The sequence below is a fragment of the Homo sapiens genome, chromosome 4 (assembly GCF_000001405.40).
Source record: "Homo sapiens chromosome 4, GRCh38.p14 Primary Assembly".
In the NCBI taxonomy this organism is placed as follows: domain Eukaryota; kingdom Metazoa; phylum Chordata; class Mammalia; order Primates; family Hominidae; genus Homo; species Homo sapiens.
The window spans coordinates 48,955,791-48,974,517 of NC_000004.12; the positions used below are offsets into that span (position 1 = coordinate 48,955,791).

Here is an 18,727-nt window from a genome sequence, read left to right on the forward strand (position 1 = left end):
TTATTCAGTCATGGATCTATACCATACTCTGTGGAATACAAACATGAAAAAAAACCAAAGACCTGTTTTGCTGCATTATATTCTAACAAGGGCTCTCAAACATTCTCACATATTTCTTCATAGTTGTTTATTGGACTACACTCCTAGATAGCAAACTCCTCAAAGGCTGGAACCATCTGTTAACCTTCCCAATGCCCACAATACTTTGCATAAAATGGCCTCATTTTTTAGAATGTCCTACAGGAAGTGCACATAAAGTGCTGAGGAAAGTCACAGGAGGGATGGGTTTCTTCTCGCTGGAGAAATCCAAGAAGGCTTCATGGAGAGCATGGTTTCTGTGTCAGGCTGTGAAGGATGAGTAAGATCCAGGCATGTAGAACTGGAAAGAGAATTATAGGAAAATAGAAAATGTACAGACACGAAATAGTGTGAGGCATGGAAAGGAAATCTTGAATAAAGTTTACGACGAGTTTGAAACAAAGTTTGAAATAGAATGAGGGACTTTGAAAAGGATCTCATCAGGTGGCCTTACCTTCTGAGTAAGGAAAGAAACAAGATTGTCTTCAAAAAAGGAAAGGAATAGGAGTGGAATGTGGGTCTGAAGGAGTGTGGAGAAGGTTTGGCTGTAGGATGAGGGTTAGACACTCAAAGACATTAAGATATGAGGTCTTGTAGGCCTGGCATGGTGGCTCATGCCTGTAATCCCAGCACTTCAGGAGGCCAAGGCAGGCAGATCACCTGAGGTCAGGAGTTCGAGACCTGGGGGACTCGAACATGGAGAAGCCCCGTCTCTACTAAAAATACAAAAAACAGCTGGGCATGATGGCAGGTGCCTGTAATCCCAGCTACTTGGGAGGTTGATGCAAGAGAATCGCTTAAACCTGGGAGGCAGAGGTTGCAGCAAGCCAAGATCATGCCACTGCACTCTAGCCTGGGCAGCAAGAGTGAGACTACATCTCAAAAAAAAAAAAAAAAAAAAAGTCTTGAGGTGTTAGTTGGTCACACAAATGGAGATATCTACAATATTAGACCATCCAGTTATAATTCAACTAATTTATTTGGTAGAGTGTTATGCACAATGTTTTACATTTTCATAATTTATATTCTATTAAAAATTAAAATATAGTATACATTCATTTCTTCATCTTCTAGCTGACAAATCTTAAATAAATATTATTTTAAACTCTAGGGACACAACAGTGAATACAGTACACAAGATTCCTGCATTTTTGAATATGTCCATTCTAGTGGGGAGAGACAGAAAAAAAAGTAACAGAAACAGAAATGTGTGTAATAGTGGCAGAAACAAGTATAATTAAACATCATTAATGTAAAACTATTCAAAATAATACACGAACGTAAATAAAGGCTATTTTCTAGCTAACTAAATCACCAACTGTTTTCTGACACAGATATTCAAAAATACGAACACAGTGAATTTAAAGCCTATCTTCTCTAGAAGAAAAGTCAAATTAATAAGGTTTTATTGTTATCAAGGTGTCAGAGGCATGTGAACCAGAGCAACTCTGTCTTAAATAGGAGCTGGGTAAGATGAGGCTGAAACCTACTGGGCTGCATTCCCAGGTGGTTAAGGCATTCTAAGTCACAGGATGAGATAGGAGGTCAGCACAAAATACAAAACCTGATAAAACAGCACAAAACATAAAACCTGATAAAACAGCTTGCAGTAAAGGAGACAGCCAAAACCCACCAAAACCAAAATGGTGACGAGGGTGACTTCTGGTCATCCTCACTGCTACACTCCCACCAGCGCCATGACAGTTCACAAATGCTACAGCAACGTCAGGAAGTTACCCTATATGATCTCAAAAGGGGAGACATGAATAATCCACCCCTTGTTTAGCGTATCATCAAGAAATAACCGTAAAAATGGGCAACCAGCTGCCCTTGGGGTTGCTCTGTCTATGGAGTAGCCATTCTTTTATTCCTTTACTTTCTTATAAACTAGCTTTCACTTTGCACTGAGGACTTACCCTGAATTCTTTCTTGCATGAGATCCAAGAACTCTCTCTTGGGGTCTGGATCTGGACCCCTTTCCTGTAACAAAGGCAGGAAGTTATTTAGCAAAATATGAAAGGCAATTTGAAAATGTCTGGGACACTTAAACACAAAACATATTTATAATTAATTTCCAGAGAATCATGCTGGGTCAGAAAGTCTTGGTAACAATAGATAACACTGTATTTTTTTCCTCTTCAGTGTATTTATGTGCATATTTAGATGTGTAAGATGCAAAGATATATAAGAGACTACTGTTACTTTTTTACTTTTACTACTTTTACTTGCAAAGAGCCTATAGGAGGAAACAGATACATCAGAAAGGTAACAAAATACACTACGTGATACTGGTTCCAACTACTGAGGAGAGTGTGTGGAGCCTTGACTTGAGGGCTGGGAGAAGCTTCACCAATGTCACAAATAACTTTTGAACTTGGCTTTGAAGTGGGCTTCTTCTGCTCAGATAAGAAAGAATTACATTGACAAAGGTGAGGAGGAAGTAGACATAGAGAAAATTAGCTAATATTTAAAGAGTTCTAAACACCCTATTTGGTACGCAGTAGATACTCTGTAAATATTTATTCAGTGAATAAGCATCCTTGTTAGAAAAATGTCATTGTAGCCATTTTGCAGATGAAGAAATGGAGGCACAGACAGATTGTTCTAAAGTCACGTAGCTAGAAGTTGTGGAATTAGATATTGACTCCTAAGTTGCCTGCCTAACAAGCTTTATGTTCTTTCCCTTGTCCAGATGTGTGGCGAAAGTGCTCACATGTGGTATAAAGTATCAGATGCCTAGGTGAGGGAGTGGAGGGGGGTGTTATGGCCAGAGGTGAACTTAGAAACACAAGTCAGAATGGACTATAGCAGTCCTTAAGATGACATTCTAGGGAACATGGAAGGTCATTTAAGGAAGCTACCAAAGATCTTAAAGTAGGGGAATGATGTCATCAGTCTGTCTTTCAGGAAGATCAGTGTAATAGGATGGAACTTGCAGGCAGGGGTGGGTGCGGGAGTGATGAGTGTAGGCTGATGGGCAAGTTAGGAAACGCTATTGCTCAGAGCTAATATGGATGAATAGGAGACTGAGCCAGGATAGTGGCAGTGGAAATGGAGAAGAAGAGGCATAAGGACTGAAAACATATTAGAGGAAGAGTCACCACCACTCATTGACCAAATGGATTTGAGGGAAGGGAAGGGAAGGGAAGGGGTGCAAGATGGTGCTGGGATTGCCAGCCTTGGTGAATGACGATGCCCTTAGCTGAAACAAAGGATGGAAGAAAATGCAGTCAGTGGGCAGAAGACAATGTTTTGGACATTTTGAGTGAGACATCCAAAGTGAGATGTATAATGGACAGGGGGAGATATAAGATAAAAACATAGAAGAGCAACTGGAATAAGAGAATGTTGGGAATCATCAGCCTCTAAGGGACAGCTGAGGCCGGAAGGATGAGAGGACCAGGGAAAGGTGTAGGAGAGAAGAGAATGGGGTGGGAAAAGGAGGGGAGGGAGGGGAAGGCATGGGTAGAGGAAAAAGAATCAGCAAATGAGACAAAGGAAGAAAAGGACAGAGATGTAGGAGGAGAGCCAGAGGGAGAAGGGTCATGGATGCCAAGGGAAGGGCCTAGAAGAGGTGAGTTTGGCTGACTGGAGGTTGTTGGTGGCCTCACTGAGATCACCTTCCCAGGAGTAGAAGGGGCAGAAGCAGGGTTGAGGGCTGAAGAGAGAGTGGATGATTCAGTGGTAAGGAAAGTGAGTTCAGTCTATTCTTTCAAAGAATTTAAGAGCCAGAAAAGTAGAGGCTCTGGATAACCTGAGAGGCAAGTGGAATAAGACATCTTTGTGAGAATCCATGTGGAGTTGTAAAGCTGGCAGGTGCCTTGGTCAGTCACTACAAGAGAAAAGTGAGTGAAGCTGAGTTCTTTCTCCTCCAGTCTTGTACAATGAATGCAGTTGTCTTAGCATGAAGGAATCAAACTTAATAGCCACATTCCTTTTATCATTGTTGAAAGACTAGAATATTGCAATATTGCTGTTCTTGGGGTATGTCCTACTGATTGCTTTATAAAGATGTTCTCTTGGGAAAGGAGAAAATAAGACTGGATTTGTAGCAAAAGTTATAGCATGGTGGCAAATTGCCCTAGTTCTTGAGCCTGGCTGCCTAGATCCAAAGCTCAGCTCTATTACTTACTGTGTGACCTTAGGTAAGTTATTTAACCTCTCTGTGGCCCAGTTTTCTCATCTGAAAGCAAAATAATAATAGTGCCACCTCATGGGATTGAGTACTTTTTTTTTTTTTTTTTTTGAGATGGAGTTTTGCTCTTGTTGCCAAGGCTGGAGTGTAATGGCGTGATCTCGGCTCACCGCAACATCTTCCTCCTGGGTTGAAGTGATTTTCCTGCCTCAGCCTTCTGAGTAGCTGGGATTACAGGCATGCGCCACCATGCCCGGCTAATTTTGTATTTTTAGTAGAGACGAGGTTTCTCCATGTTGGTCAGGCAGTGGTGGGATTACAGGTGTGAGCCACCGCGCCCAGCCGAGTAAAATTAAGGTAAATAAAATAATATACAGAACTTGGAACTATGCCCAATTCTACATAGCTCTACATGGCCCTATTGCTGTATTCACTCTTATTACTAATAGTTTTTCCAAGGATCTTGAGTATCAGCATTGGAATGGACCCTGGGTTTAATTGATCATAATCTTTCTGCTATCCACTGGCCCTAGTTGTTGTTATGATTATGTTGGTTTTTCCTTATAAGCATGAAATTCTTTTAGTTTTGCATGTAACAGACCCTGCAAACTAATATTTGCTTTCCAAGATTAAAAGAGGCTCTTCACACATCTGGACTCTCTTGTATTATAGGATTTTTCTTGTTCTGAATATCTTGAGAATACCAAAAACTGGTATTTTAGATTTGTTTTCTGACATCTCTTAAGCTGAAATCACATGCGAGAATTGACTTTGCAGCTACTAATGTTGACACCTTTTAAATCTGTATAAAAGCGTGTTGTGTTGAAGCAGCAAATCAGTGAGTGTTGCATTTTGGATATTTAGTTTTATCTTTAGTTAAACACCATCCTGGTGTATTCATTTATACCATCTAATATATGACACACTGTTGTAGTATGTATAATTTTGTGATCTTTATTTCCCTCTGTATTCACTTTAAGCATGTAAATAAATTGCTGTATTGTGCTAAAAAAAAAAAAAGAAGAGATTCTTCTTAGGTGGAGAAATAATGGCTTATCCCACAGAAAAATGAGGTAGAAGACACCTTTTTGGAGTAAACTCTGAAGCATGGTTTCATGATGGTGTAAACCAGAAAGCATTAGACAAGTCTCAACCAATTTAAAAGTGAAGTGACATCATTCATCTGGGGTAATACCTGAGGTTTGTTGTCTCATGCCAAGGAAATCAAGGATGCAGACACACAAGGAGTGAGGTTAAGAGTGGAGGTTTAATAGGTGAAAGAAAGAGAGGAGCTCTGTCCTGCAGAGAGAGAGGTCCCAAGTGGGTTTTCTGGTCTGCAGTGAAATTTGAGGGGTTTTATAGATGAGCTTGAGGAGGCGATGTCTGATTTACATAGGGCACGAAATATTGGTTGGACCAGGTGTGCCATTTGCATAAGGCACAAAAAACTGGTTAGGCCTGTGTGCCATTTGCATAGCACACGAAAATCTGGCTGCCCCTACCCTAATCTTGTATTTTGCAGATGGGTTCTCTGCCTGGCCATGTTGCCTGTTTCTTTACTGTACACATGGTGAAATAAAAAAGGGGAGATGGAGCCTCTGTGTTGAATATACCTGGCCCTTGGGTAGCCCTTTTCTATTGGAACAGCTGCTGGCATTCACCTGTGCAAACTTCCAGCTTGCTTATCTATGTCTGCAGCTTGATTTTTCAGGCTGCTCTTTGTTAGAAAAGAATAATTTTGGGGCTGCTTTTTGTTAAAAGGGAAATTCCATCAAGGACTCTTTTACCCTCACTATCGCCTAAATAATTTCTTTCTATCTCCTGTATCAGAAGTTTATTTTGCCAAGGTTAAGGATGTGCCCATGACCCAGCCTCAGGAGCCCTGATGACATGTGCCTAAGGTGGTCAGGTTACAGCTTCATTTTATACATTTTAGGGGGATATAAGATATCAATCAATACATGTCAGATGTACATTGGCTTGGTCACAACTGGAAGTTGGGGGGTGGGGGTGCTTTTAGGTCATAGATTGATTCAAAGACTTTCTGATTGGTAATTGCTTTAAAGAGTTTATCTAAAGACCTAGAATCCATAGAAAAGAGTGTCTGGGTTAAGACAAGGGGTTGTGAAGACCAAGGTTCTTATTATGCAGATGAATCTTCTAGGTAGCAGGCTTCAGAGAGAATAGATTGTAAATGTTTCTTATCAGACTTAAAAAGATAACAGAGTCTTAATTAATTCTCTCTTGGATCAGGGAAAGTACCTGGAAAGGGAAAGGGATTCTCTACAGAATGTAGATTTTCCCCATAAGATACAGCTTTGCAGGACCATTTCAAACTATGTCAAAGAAATATATATTAGGGTAAAATACTTTGATTTCTTTCAGGGCCTGCTATCTGTCATGTATCTATACTTGAGTCAGGCTGGAATTTGGTGTCTTATTGCTACAAAAAGTCTTAAGATTTCTGTTTTAATGTTCATGCTGGTCAGTAGTGCCTGAATTCTGAAGGGAAGGGGTATAATGAGGAATGTCTGACTCCCCCTTCCATCATGACCTGAACTAGGGTATTTTTTTTTTTTTTTCGAGATGGAGTCTAACTCTGTTGCCCAGGCTGGAGTGCAGTGGTACGAGCTCAGCTCACTGCAGCCTCGACCTCCCTGGTTATTCTCCTGCCTCAGCCTTTCCAGTCGCTGGGACTACAGGTGTGCACCACCAGGCCTCGCTAGTTTTTGTATTTTTGGTAAAGATGGAGTTTTACTTTGTTGGCTAGGCTGGTATCAGACTCCTAACCAAGAACCCATCTTGGCCTCCCAAAGTGCCAGGATTACAGGCATGAGCGCACCTGGCCCTGAACTAGTTTTTCAGGTTAACTTTGGAATGCCGTTGGCTGAGAGGAGAGGTCCCTTCAGATGAATGGGGGTTGGGGGGGGGGGCTTAGAATTTTATTTTTAGTTTACAGTAGTAAAACCAAGTAATTAAAATATGGGTAAAGATTGATGTACTATTAAATGTAAAACTCCTTTGGTACATTTCAGCTCTATAGGGAAGCTATATTTATGGTTCATATCTTTCTTATAACATTCTTCTAAAATAATCCAAAGCACCAAAGTGAAACATCTGGTACCAGGCAGTATACAAAAATAATATTTTATCTTGCTGGTATTTTTAATGGCAAACGTAGGCATTATTTTGAATTGCTCTACCTCACTGCCACCTGCTGGTCATGGTGCAGTATAACTAACGTTCTGGTGGCCATACTGGTCAGCATCTGAATGAGCGCCTCCTCGAGGTTGCAGAAAGAGGCCCCAATTTCTTCCTATTAAGTAAATACATTGCCTTTTAACTTACATCCAGAGGCAGGTCCAAGTTTTTGTGGGAACTGTAGCATATTCCATTTTAGGACTCCTCTTTAAAATGAAAAAACATAAAATTACAAATATAATATCAAGTATGGAAGAGAATACGTATTTTAGAATGAGAAACAAAATTGCAACAAGTTGCAAATTTCAAAAAGGTGACAATTACTATGCACACCACACAAGACAGAAAAATAAATGTTTTGTAGATTAACTGTCTCACATACATCTTTCCTCTAAAGTTAAAAAAATTCTTTGTCTCTTCATAAAAATGATTTTGCAATTTATTTTGAGACTGGAGTCTCACTCTGTAGCCCAGGCTGGAGTGCAATGGCGTGATCTTGGCTCACTGCAACCTCTGCCTCCTGGGTTCAAGTGATTCCTCCTCAGCCTTTTGAGTAGCTGGGACTCCAGGCACACGCCATCACGCCTGGCTAATTTTTTGTATTTTTAGTAGAGAAGGGGTTTCACCATGAGTTTGAGGCCAGGCTGGTCTCAAACTCCAGACCTCAAGTGATCTGCCCACCTCAGCCTCCCAAAGTGCTGGGATTACAGATGTGAGCCACCACATCCAGCCAGGCAATATTTTTTACAGTGAGAATAGAAAGATCATTTGGCTTTTCCTCTATCATGGTTCATCAAAATTTGTTTACTGTTGACAGTTGAGAAGAGTTTCCTTGAGCTTCACAATTCACAGGTAATGTCATGTACATTCTGAGGCTTGTGGTCAAATTTGGGGAACTCTCTGTAATTCACTTATGGGCCGTAAGATCTGAGGACATTTTCCAGTTTTCTTGTGCAGTGTCTAATATTGAATACTGTTTGCATTGACAGCATTCATTTCCCAGTTTGTTTTTCCATCCTCCTTGTAGCGGAATACTGTGATTTCTATCTTTTAAGATGGCAGTGTCATGTCAAATTAGCAAGAAATTTAAATATTTTCCCTGTGTGTTCACATTGTTTGCTCTTTTTCATTAACGGGATTATCAAACAACCCAAAAACCTATTTATTACTTCTATTTGAAATGTATCTCCTCCTCTGTGCTATGATCTGAAATTTTTGGTCATAATTTCCTTCTCAATGTTAGACTTTCTCTTGATTCCATTCTTTATTGTAGCCACTTTTGCTTCACATTCCATTTTTTCCCCTGAATTTTCTTCCAGTTCTTTAATAAGTATATGACAAAGTTGGGCATGGTGGCTCATGCCTATAATCCTAGCACTTTGGGAGGTTGAGGCAGGAGGATTGCTTTAGGCAAGGAGTTTGAGACCAACCTGGGTAACACAGTGAGGCCACACCTCTACAAAAAATAAAAAGCCAGGCATGGTGGCACGTGCCTGTAGTACTAGCTTGGGAAGCTGCAGTGGGCAGGTTGCTTGAGCCCAGGAGTTTGAGACTGCAATGAGCTGTGATTGCTCTAGGGCACTCCAGCCTGGGTGACAGCAAGACCCTGTCTCTAAAACAAAACAAAACACAATTAAAAAACCCCAAAACCAATAAATAAATAAATAAATAAATAATAAGTCAAATGATGTCTGTCACTTTTCACTTGGTTTACTGGAACTTTCCAAAGCAACTTTCCAAATTTCTGCTAAAATGGCACATTCCCCGGTCAGTTTCTCCTTAGCAGGATCCCAAAACTGCTTGCAGCCATTCTAATGCCAGAGACATCAGGCAAATGTGACAGACAGGAAGTTCTAGTGAAAGGAGACAGTTGTCTGAACCAGTTGTGGTTAAAATATCTTACTTTTGAAAATTTTATGTAAACATATGACCAGGTGAGCACATTGCTGGGACCCCTTGAAAGGGTCATTAGCTCCATAGGAAACCTGCCACATCTCCCTGTAATTCTTCTGTTCCCCAGGAAGTGCCAGAGTTTGAGGACAATTTTGTATGACTTACTGGTTCCATTCTGTTGTTCTTGTCTGCACAAAAAAATTCATTTAGATCAGGTGGATGGAAAGTCAGTCTAAAATAGAAAAATTCAGAACTAGATTTTTTAAAAATATACTTTTTAAGGTACAAACTAGAAAACAAAAGACTGGTCTGGTTTTGTTCCTGGAATAACTTGACCTTGGGTAAATCACATACTAATTTATAAAATCAGAGGACTGGTGTATCTACCCAAGGAAATAAGTAGTTAATTTCTAAGATCCCTTCTAACTCTAAATCTTGTAAACCAAAAATAAAATTCTAAGTCTCCCCAACCATTTTAATTCACCCATCCTCTGGGCCAAGAGCATTCCAAAGTTAACCTGAAAAACTAGTTCAGGCCATGATGGGAAGGGGAAGCCAGACATGCCTCATTATACCTGCCTCAGTTTTTAGAAGTACTGATAGAACAGACTCTTTAAGTCTGGTAAGAAACATTTACAATCTATTCTCTGAAGCTTGCTACCTGGAGGCTTCCCCTACATGATAAAACCGTGGTCTCCACAACCCCTTATCTTAACCCAGACATTCCTTTCTATCGATTCCAAGTCTTTAGACAGTAACTTAACAAATCTTTCGGCAAATTGCTAATGAGAAAATGTTTGAACCTACCTGTGATGTGGAAGCCCCTCTGCTTCTAGTTGCCCTGCCTTTCCTGAACAAACCAACGTATATCTTACTTGTATTGATTGATGTCATTTGCCTCCCTAAAATGTATCAAGCCAAATTGTAGCCTGATCACCTTGAGCACATGTTCTCAGGAGCTGCTGAGGGGTGTGTCACAGGTCACTCACATTTGGCTCAGTATAAATCTCTTCAAATATTTTACAGAGTTTGACATTTTTCATCAACAAACTCTATGAACTTAATATGCATGTAGAATACACACTAGGCTGTTTCCAAGAAGACAGCACATCAAGCCTCTTTAAAATTTAAAAATGAACTTGCAGTAATTACTTGTAATTAGTGTAATTATCTTTTATAAGTGTGCTACTAGGTTGGAATATTTTGGTTTTAGTAAATAGACTAAATGTTTGAACTAGTCACTATGTCATGCATATTATTAATTGGCCTAAAACCTCACATACGTCTATTATACTATGCAATTTTCATATAGTCCTATTTGTGGTGATTACCACAGATTCAGTATTGTCAAATTAATATATGTATAGGTATACATATACAGTACTTGGCAAAAGCATCCTTTGAATCAGTAGACTTTCTTTTCTGTTGTTGAAAATTTGGCACCTTCTAGGAAATGTGTGTTTTTAAAAATAAATAAAAGATAAAAGTCTTTTGCTATAATCTACTTTGTATTTCAAAGTTTTATTGTTTCTTGGGGAAGATTGACGCTATTGTCACCATAGTATTGCAACCAGCCAGTTTCTAAGTTTTCAGATCTGTGAAAGCAGGTGTTGGGCCCCATTCTTTCTTTCCCCAAAGGCCCTTATACAAATTGACACCATCCCTCCCCAGTGACCTGCTTTGCATTCCAGAGATCTCCAAGATGAACAGGGATTCTTTTGTACACCCTTTATCATCCTCCAATGCCTCCTGGACAATACACTTCAAAACCAAGAGGGGCTGATCAAATGATTCTTCCTGGGACAAGAAGATGTGCTGCAGCTTCCATCTGCAGAGAGGAGACCAGCTGGAATAACTGAACACCTTCTCTGAATAGGTCCCTTGTTTGAAGTTGGCCTTAGTAAGTTCCCCATTACATAGACAACCAAGCAGATGCATGGCTAGTGATGCCACATATTGGGGGAAACTCTTAGACCCTAAGGACACTTACTAGGGTAACACTTATGGCCTATCCTTACCAACTGGCTTAAGTCTCCCTCAGGAGGTACTGGTGGTTTGGGAATAAGTTGCTGGCCTGCTTCATTCAGGCTTTTCCCCTCCCTTTCTGTTTTTGGGATTGGCCTGCCCCAGAGCACACACTCTGTTCTGCAGTTGGTTATGAAATACAGGCTCTGCATCTGTGGGTGAGACCTGTGCTTTTTCTAGGGCTGCCTGTGGCTGTGTGGGTGAGTCTGCCTAATTCTTGGGTTCAGTTATCAGGACACCCATTGTTGTTGCATACCTAAGCCACATGCTCCCTTTCAGCTTTTATGAGCAGTCAAGCTGCTGATTTTTACATCTTTATCTGCTTGATTCCTTTATACCTTTCAGTTGGTTCAGAGATTGAGTGGGGAAGAAGGCTGTTATGTATATTGACTCTCTCAAACCTCCACACTATGTGCTAGCCACAGGAAACTAAATTAGTCAAGACATAGTTCCTTTGCAAGGTGAATGGACAATCTGGCAACTATGAAGACCCCAAAATGACAAACTTGCAAGGATAGCGCACACCCAAAATTGGGCAGTCACAATTCTCTACCCCTTTATTCACCCAGCACAAGTTACTCCACCCTCTGGATGAGCCATCACACAGGACTACTTGTGGACTTAACTATGTATATTGAAGCTAATGTTGAGAGTGGTATTGCAACATTTTTTTTTTTCTGTATGTGTGTTGGAATGGGAGAGACTAGACAGGGAGGTGAGGGAAAGGGAGGAGCAAGCAGGCTGGAAACTCTTCAAGGCAGACTCTGGTGCTAACTGGTTGTAACCTGCCAGGGCTCAGTGGGGTGCATTATCTCATCAGCCTGGTCCTGCTCATTTAATTCAGCAAACTCCATTTGAGCATGTGCTAAATGGCAGGTGCATTTCACATTCTTTGCCCTTGGTTTCAAGGTCCCTTCATTAGGCTGTGCTGGCATGCTTGGTCAAACTTCTGATTTAGACCAACTGATTAATCCTTGAACCCCAAATACAACTTTTCTTTGCTTTACTTTGTTCCTTTTCTCGGTGTCACTCTGTTCAGCTGGAATGGGCTTCTCCCAATCCCTGCCGTTTGTGATCCTCTCCATCCGTCCAAGCCATCTGCCTTGACTGCCTGAGTGGATGTGAGCTTTTACTTTACAGGGACCCTTCTTCTGCTATTCTTGAATCTGTTTCTTTAATGAGTAACCAGATGAATTTCATTTTCTTCTCCAGATTCTCTCTGGTGGGGCCCCTGAATTGGTTTTTCATAGTTCTGTCCCATCAGGCGTCTGATATAAAATGACCTCACAGACACAGAAGCAATCTCATACTTCTCAAAAGACACATATGGGTATCTATTTGATTTATAGTTTTAGATATCCTGTTTCAGCTCAGATTATACACTTTTGGAGGGATGTATGTTTTGCATCTTTTAAGATACTTAACAACTGATATTTAATTAATAGCAACAGAGAATGCACAAGTTTCACCCCAAATTCTGTAAGACACATATCAGAGAAGTCTACTATGAACTCAAAATGCTTTATCCTAAAACTTCATATGCATTTTGCATTCTTCTCTGTAGTATATCCATGCTTGTTTTAATATAAAAATGTTATGAATTGCTTACCCTGAATAAACCTAATGCTCCAAGCAGATCTGCAATGTTGAATTGCTGAGTCTATACCATTTGATACACTGCCACCTACCCCTGTCGTGTATTTCAGTTTCAGAAGCATGGGTAGTAGATGCTCAAGAAATGTTTATTGAATGAAGAAACGAATGAGAAATTTGATAATACTAATGGAATTCTTGTATTTAGGTAACTCCTTCTAGAAATTTATACATTGAGTCACAGTTTTCCAAGGGAGCTAACTCACAGCATGATGTAAGTTGCATTTGATCTGTGGTTTCTTTCAAGTCAGACCAGTTAGTGCACTGACGCAATCATTCTTTAATTGGCTTCACTTTGCTGGTGGGAAAATGGAGGCTCAGGAAGGTAAATGAGCATCACAATATGCCATTCATAACTAGACCATCGCAGCTCTGCTTCTGGGGCCCCCAGGTGACTCTCTCCTTCATGCCCTCAGATCCTCAGATCATGCCCCCAACCCCTTCCAAAGGCAGCTCTTATCCTGCTGGACTGTGATCACCTGAGCTGACTCCACTTCTGGGCCATGAGCTCCTCCTGGCTGGGACTATGTCTTGCTCATCTCTATGCACTCAGGGATGATGATGGCCCCTCACCCACAGAGGGCTCACAGTTAATGTTCAGAGGATGACTACGTAAAAATGTATATATCCAAGAAACTGCTGAATGATCCATACATTTTTTTTTAAATATAGATTTTTGATTTCCTAGACATGCCTTCTAAGTAAACCTTAAAAAGAATCTGCTAGGATGGTGCTCTTGATGATAAGTCTAAGTGAAAGAAAACCTAATGTTCATGTTAGGATATGAACTCAATGTTTCTTAAAACTTTTTTATTTTATTTTTACTACATTGAAAATGTTTGTTCAGGCAGACCTTTTTACTTTGGGGGCACCAAAGTGATTGATGCCCTTTAATCTCATTGAGAAACCCTCTTGGCCCTGGCCACAGGGATAAATTTGGTTGGCACTTCTGGCTCTGCTGCTACAGGCACATGGCTTGTCTGGTCCTCTGTGGGGATATTAATTGCCATCACTGCTCCTTTTTTAGGAGCCTGTGTTATATCTGCTGCAGGACAAATGGCTTTTCATATATCCACAGAGTTGTATATTCATCATCACTTTTGGAACATTTTCATCATCCTCCAAAGAAACTCCATACCCTTTTGTCATCACTCTCTAACCTCCCCTACCCTCCCATCCTCTGCCCTCATCACCCCCTGCAACACATACATGCATGGGAAACTAGCCATGTGCACAATGAGAAAGCTCTGTTGCAAATACAATAAGTGACTTTGAATATGAATGTCAGGATTATTATTATTATTTTAATTTATTTAATTTATTTATTTTTTTTAGAGATAAGGTCTCACTATGTTATCCAGGCTGGTCCTGAACTCCTGGGCTCAGGCAGTACTCCAACCTAGGCCTCCCAAAGTGCTGGGATTACAGGTTTGAGCTACCACACCTGGCTGCAAGGATTACTTTGTTTTCAAGTGACTAAAACCCAGACTAAACAGTCTTGGACAAAAGGGAGAATTTTCTGACTGTAATGGTAATTTTATATGTCAACTGGGCCTTGGGGTGCCCAGATATTTGGTTACATATTATTTCTGGGTTTGTGTGTGAGAGTGATTTTGGGTGAGACTAACATCTGAATCAGTAGACTGAGTAAAGCAGATTGCCCTCCCAAATGTGAGTTATCCTCTTCCAACCAGTTGAAGGCCTGAATAGAACAAAAAGGCTGGCCCTCCCCCAGATAAAAAAAGGAACTCTTCCTGCCTGACCACTTTGAGCTGGCAGTCAGTCTTTTTCTGTCTTCTGACTCAAACCAAAACATCTGGTCGTCTTGGGTCTTGAGCCTCCTGGCTCTTGGACTGGACTTACACCATTGGCTCTTCTGGATCTCCAGCTTAGCAACTGCAGATCTTGGGGCTTCTCAGCTTCCATAATCATATGAGCCAATTTCACATAATAAATCTCTCTCTCCACCCCCCTCTCCCACCACACAGACACTCACATACTCACAGACACATTCTATTGGTTCTACTGGTCTGGAGAACGCTGACTCATACATTGACTAATAGGATCCATGGAACTATTGAACAACCAAACCATTGAAAGAGCACAGATGCAGCTGGATCGTAAAACAGAATGAGGGGCTCAAATGCTGCCGAGAGTCTTCTTCCTCCCTGCTTTTCCTTTATTTTTTATTTTTGTTTTTCTGAGATGGGGTATCACTCTCTCACTCAGGTTGGAGTGCAGTGGTGCAGTCTCAACTCACTGTAACCTCAGCCTCCCAGGCTCAAGCAATCCTCCCACCTCAGCCTCCTGAGTGGCTGGGACCACAGGTGCATACCATTACTCCTGGCTAATTTGTTGTATTTTTGGTAGAGACGGCTGGTCTTGAATTCCTGGGATCAGGTGATCCACCTGCCTTGGTCTTCAAAGTACTGAGATTACAGGAATAAGCCACCATGCCTGGTCCTTTATTTTTAATTGACAAGTAAAAATTGTGTATAGTTTTGGTGGTGCACACGTGATAGTTTTTTCTCTTCTTCTTCTTTTTTTTTTTTTTTGAGACAGAGTCTCGCTGTGTTGTCCAGGCTGAAGTGCAGCAGTATGATCTCGCTCACTGCAACATCCACCTCCTGGGTTGAAGCAATTCTCCTGCCTCAGCTTTCTGAATAGCTGGGATTACAGGTGCAAGCCACCATGCCCAGATAATTTTTGTATTTTTAGTAGAGATGAGATTTCAGCATGTTGGCCAGGCTGGTCTTGAACTGCTGACCTCAAGTGATCTGCCCGCCATGGCCTCCCAAAGTGTTGGGATGACAGGTGTGAGCCACCATGCCAGGCCGATATTTTGATATATGTATACATTTTGGAATAACTAAATCAATCTAATCCAAGGAACTTCTTTCTTCTCTGCCCTTTTATTAATGTAGAATTCATTTTCTTCTGATACAAGCCACCTTACTCTGCAAGGTGGGAAACACAAAACACCTCCCCTGCTTTACATTACATGACCTCCTCACCAAAAAAGATAAAAACAGTTCTGAAGCCTAAAGCTGCCAATATTGGCCAGGTGTGGTGACTTATGGCTGTAATCCCCACACTTTGGGAGGCTGAGGTGGGAGGGTCACTTGACCCCAGGAATTCAAGGTTACAGTGAGGTATGATTACACCACCGCTTGGGCAACATAGCAAGGCCCTGATATGGTTTGGCTCTGTGGCCCCACTCAAATCTCATCTTGAATGGTAATCCCCATGTGTCAAGGGAGGAACCTGGTGGGAGGTGATTGGATCATGTGGGTGGTTCCCCCATGTTGTTTTCATGATAGTGAGTGGGTTCTCATGAGATCTGATGGTTTAAAAGTGTGGCGCTTCCCCCTGCTCCTCCTGCCGCCATGTAAGAGGTGCCTTGCTTCTCCTTCACCTTCCATCATGATTGTAAGTTTCCTGAAGACTCCCAGCCATGCAGAATGGAACTGAGAGTCAATTAAACCTCCTTTCTTTAGAAATTACCCAGTCTCAGGTAGCATCTTTATAGCAGTGTGAAAACAGGCTAATACAAACCCCATCTCTACACAAAATTTTAAAAAATTAATTGGATGTGGTGGTGCATACCTGTAGTTCTAGCTACTTGGGAGGCTGAGGTGGGAGCATCACTTGAGCCTGAGCCCAGGAGTTCAAGGCTGCAGCGGGCTATAGATTTTGCCACTGTACTCCAGCCTCAGTGACAAAGGGAAATCCTGTCTCTAAATAAATAAATAAATAAATTACCAATATGGACAAAGTTCCCCAGGAAGACAATCAGGCCAACCTTCAAAAATCATTAATGATTTGTGGAGTGAAGTTTCTTCTGGGGAAGTATGGTAATATTGTGCTTCAAACTTCATATAGCCTACAAAACAGAAGTAATGGTTAGTGGCACCCAACATCTGGGTTACTAAGTGAAGATATAATAAAAATTAAGAGGCATGTTTATGTCACACCATATGCTTAAAATCTAATAATAGTAATGATGCAGACATATAGGTACAATAAAATCTGTGGGAGGTGTCATGAAATTAAGGTTAAACACAAGGGTAAAATAAGGATGGACTGTTCATGCAGTCAGATGAGTGCATTCTGGTCAATGGGTTGGAAGTAGAAGTCAGGTATGCAACTTTTAGGGAATGTCCTGAAAGGGTGGTCCCCTGTCCTTCTCCTTCCTTTTTCTTATTCTTGTAAGTTAGACTGAGAATGTGAAGCTTGAAGCTGAAGCAGCTGTCCTGAACCATGAAACGAAGGATGCCTGTTGAGGATGGTGAGTACCCGGATAGAAAGAGCCCAGGCTCTTGACACCTGTGGAGCAAGCACACCAGCCCTGGATTACTTATGGCAACCTTTATGTGACAGAGATAAAATCTCAATTTCGTTCAAGTCACTATTATTTTGGAATTCCTCTCACACTTGGCTAAACCTGGGGATGAATAATTGCAATATGGTGTTTCCTATTCTAATAATTTTTCAATCTCAATGGATTGTACTAACATGCATGGGGTAGAATTATGACATTTGCAGCCATGAAAGGCCTCAAAAAAAACTTACTTCCCATGCACTCTTTCTCAGGAAGCTGCTGGAGTAAACCAGTCAAGAGGAAGACATAGGATCCTATAAAGAGGGAGTCGAGTATGGGAGAGAGATGAAGCAATGTCTCCAATGAGGCTGAAGGGAAGTTCAGGACAACAGCCCTGCAGCAAGCTTGGAAAGCAGATTGCCCAGATTGGAGCAGAAGAGCAGAGAACACCAGGAGGGATGACTTCAGAGAAAAAGGGAGCTGATAGAATACCTCATGGTCTTGATGGTCCTGAGGTTTTACAGGACTGGAGGATAGTTTGGGAATGAGTTTGTGATTGTCACAGTTAAGTAAACAAACAAACAAACAAATTAACAAAAAATCAATTATAAACGAAAGAGAACACAATAATTAGATGAGAAATAAAATATAATTAAGCGTTCTGCATGATTAGCAGTGATGCAATCTTAATATGATAAACACATTATTGATTTAATCAAAATTTGAGAAATAGTTGAAACAACTATATTGAGTGGGAGAAGGTGTGTGTATGTGGGGGGTATGCGTGCATGTTATGTATCTGTGTGCATGTGTTTCTAGGGGAGAAGCACTGTAAGAGATTTAACCCTTCATCTTCTACAATAAAAACAATGATGTCAAAATATTTAAAAATCAAGAAAAAGCAATATGGAAGTGAACGCTGAAAAAATAGCTATGAAGATGTTTGCCCCTGACGAATAGGAATTAGGGATGGGATGGGTAGGGCCAGGAGAAAGAAGTTTTGTCCTTACTGTGTGAATCTTAGAACTGTTTTGATAAAATTAAAAATTTCACTGTGATAAAAATAATAACTTAACAAAATAAAATAAACTTTTTGACTATATAATCTTTAAGCTCCTTGAAGTGATTGGATGGAATGCAAGAAAAAGAAATAAAGGGGAAGGGAGAGTATTATTGGGAAGAACCAGTCTGTAGAACAAAAATCCCAGCCTAAAATGATTTATGCAGCTTTGTCTTTGTTATCTATCAATAAGAAACAATGTTCATTTGTTCACTCATTCATTCATTTGCACCCACCAAATATCTGCTGAGCACCTGGTATATGCCATGCTCTGCTACTGATTATCCGAACATCAAAGATGAAGCCAGGCACAGTGGCTCACACCTGTATACCCAGCACTCTGGGAGGGTGAGGCAGATGG

General features: G+C 40.8%; 1 annotated feature.

The window, feature by feature from the left end:
• Window positions 7,419–7,558: an enhancer, noted in NCBI's record as "active region_21551". NCBI's record gives its function as "activates an Ori minimal core promoter by ATAC-STARR-seq in GM12878 lymphoblastoid cells {active_cell/tissue: GM12878}" and the evidence as "EXISTENCE:reporter gene assay evidence [ECO:0000049][PMID:35858748]".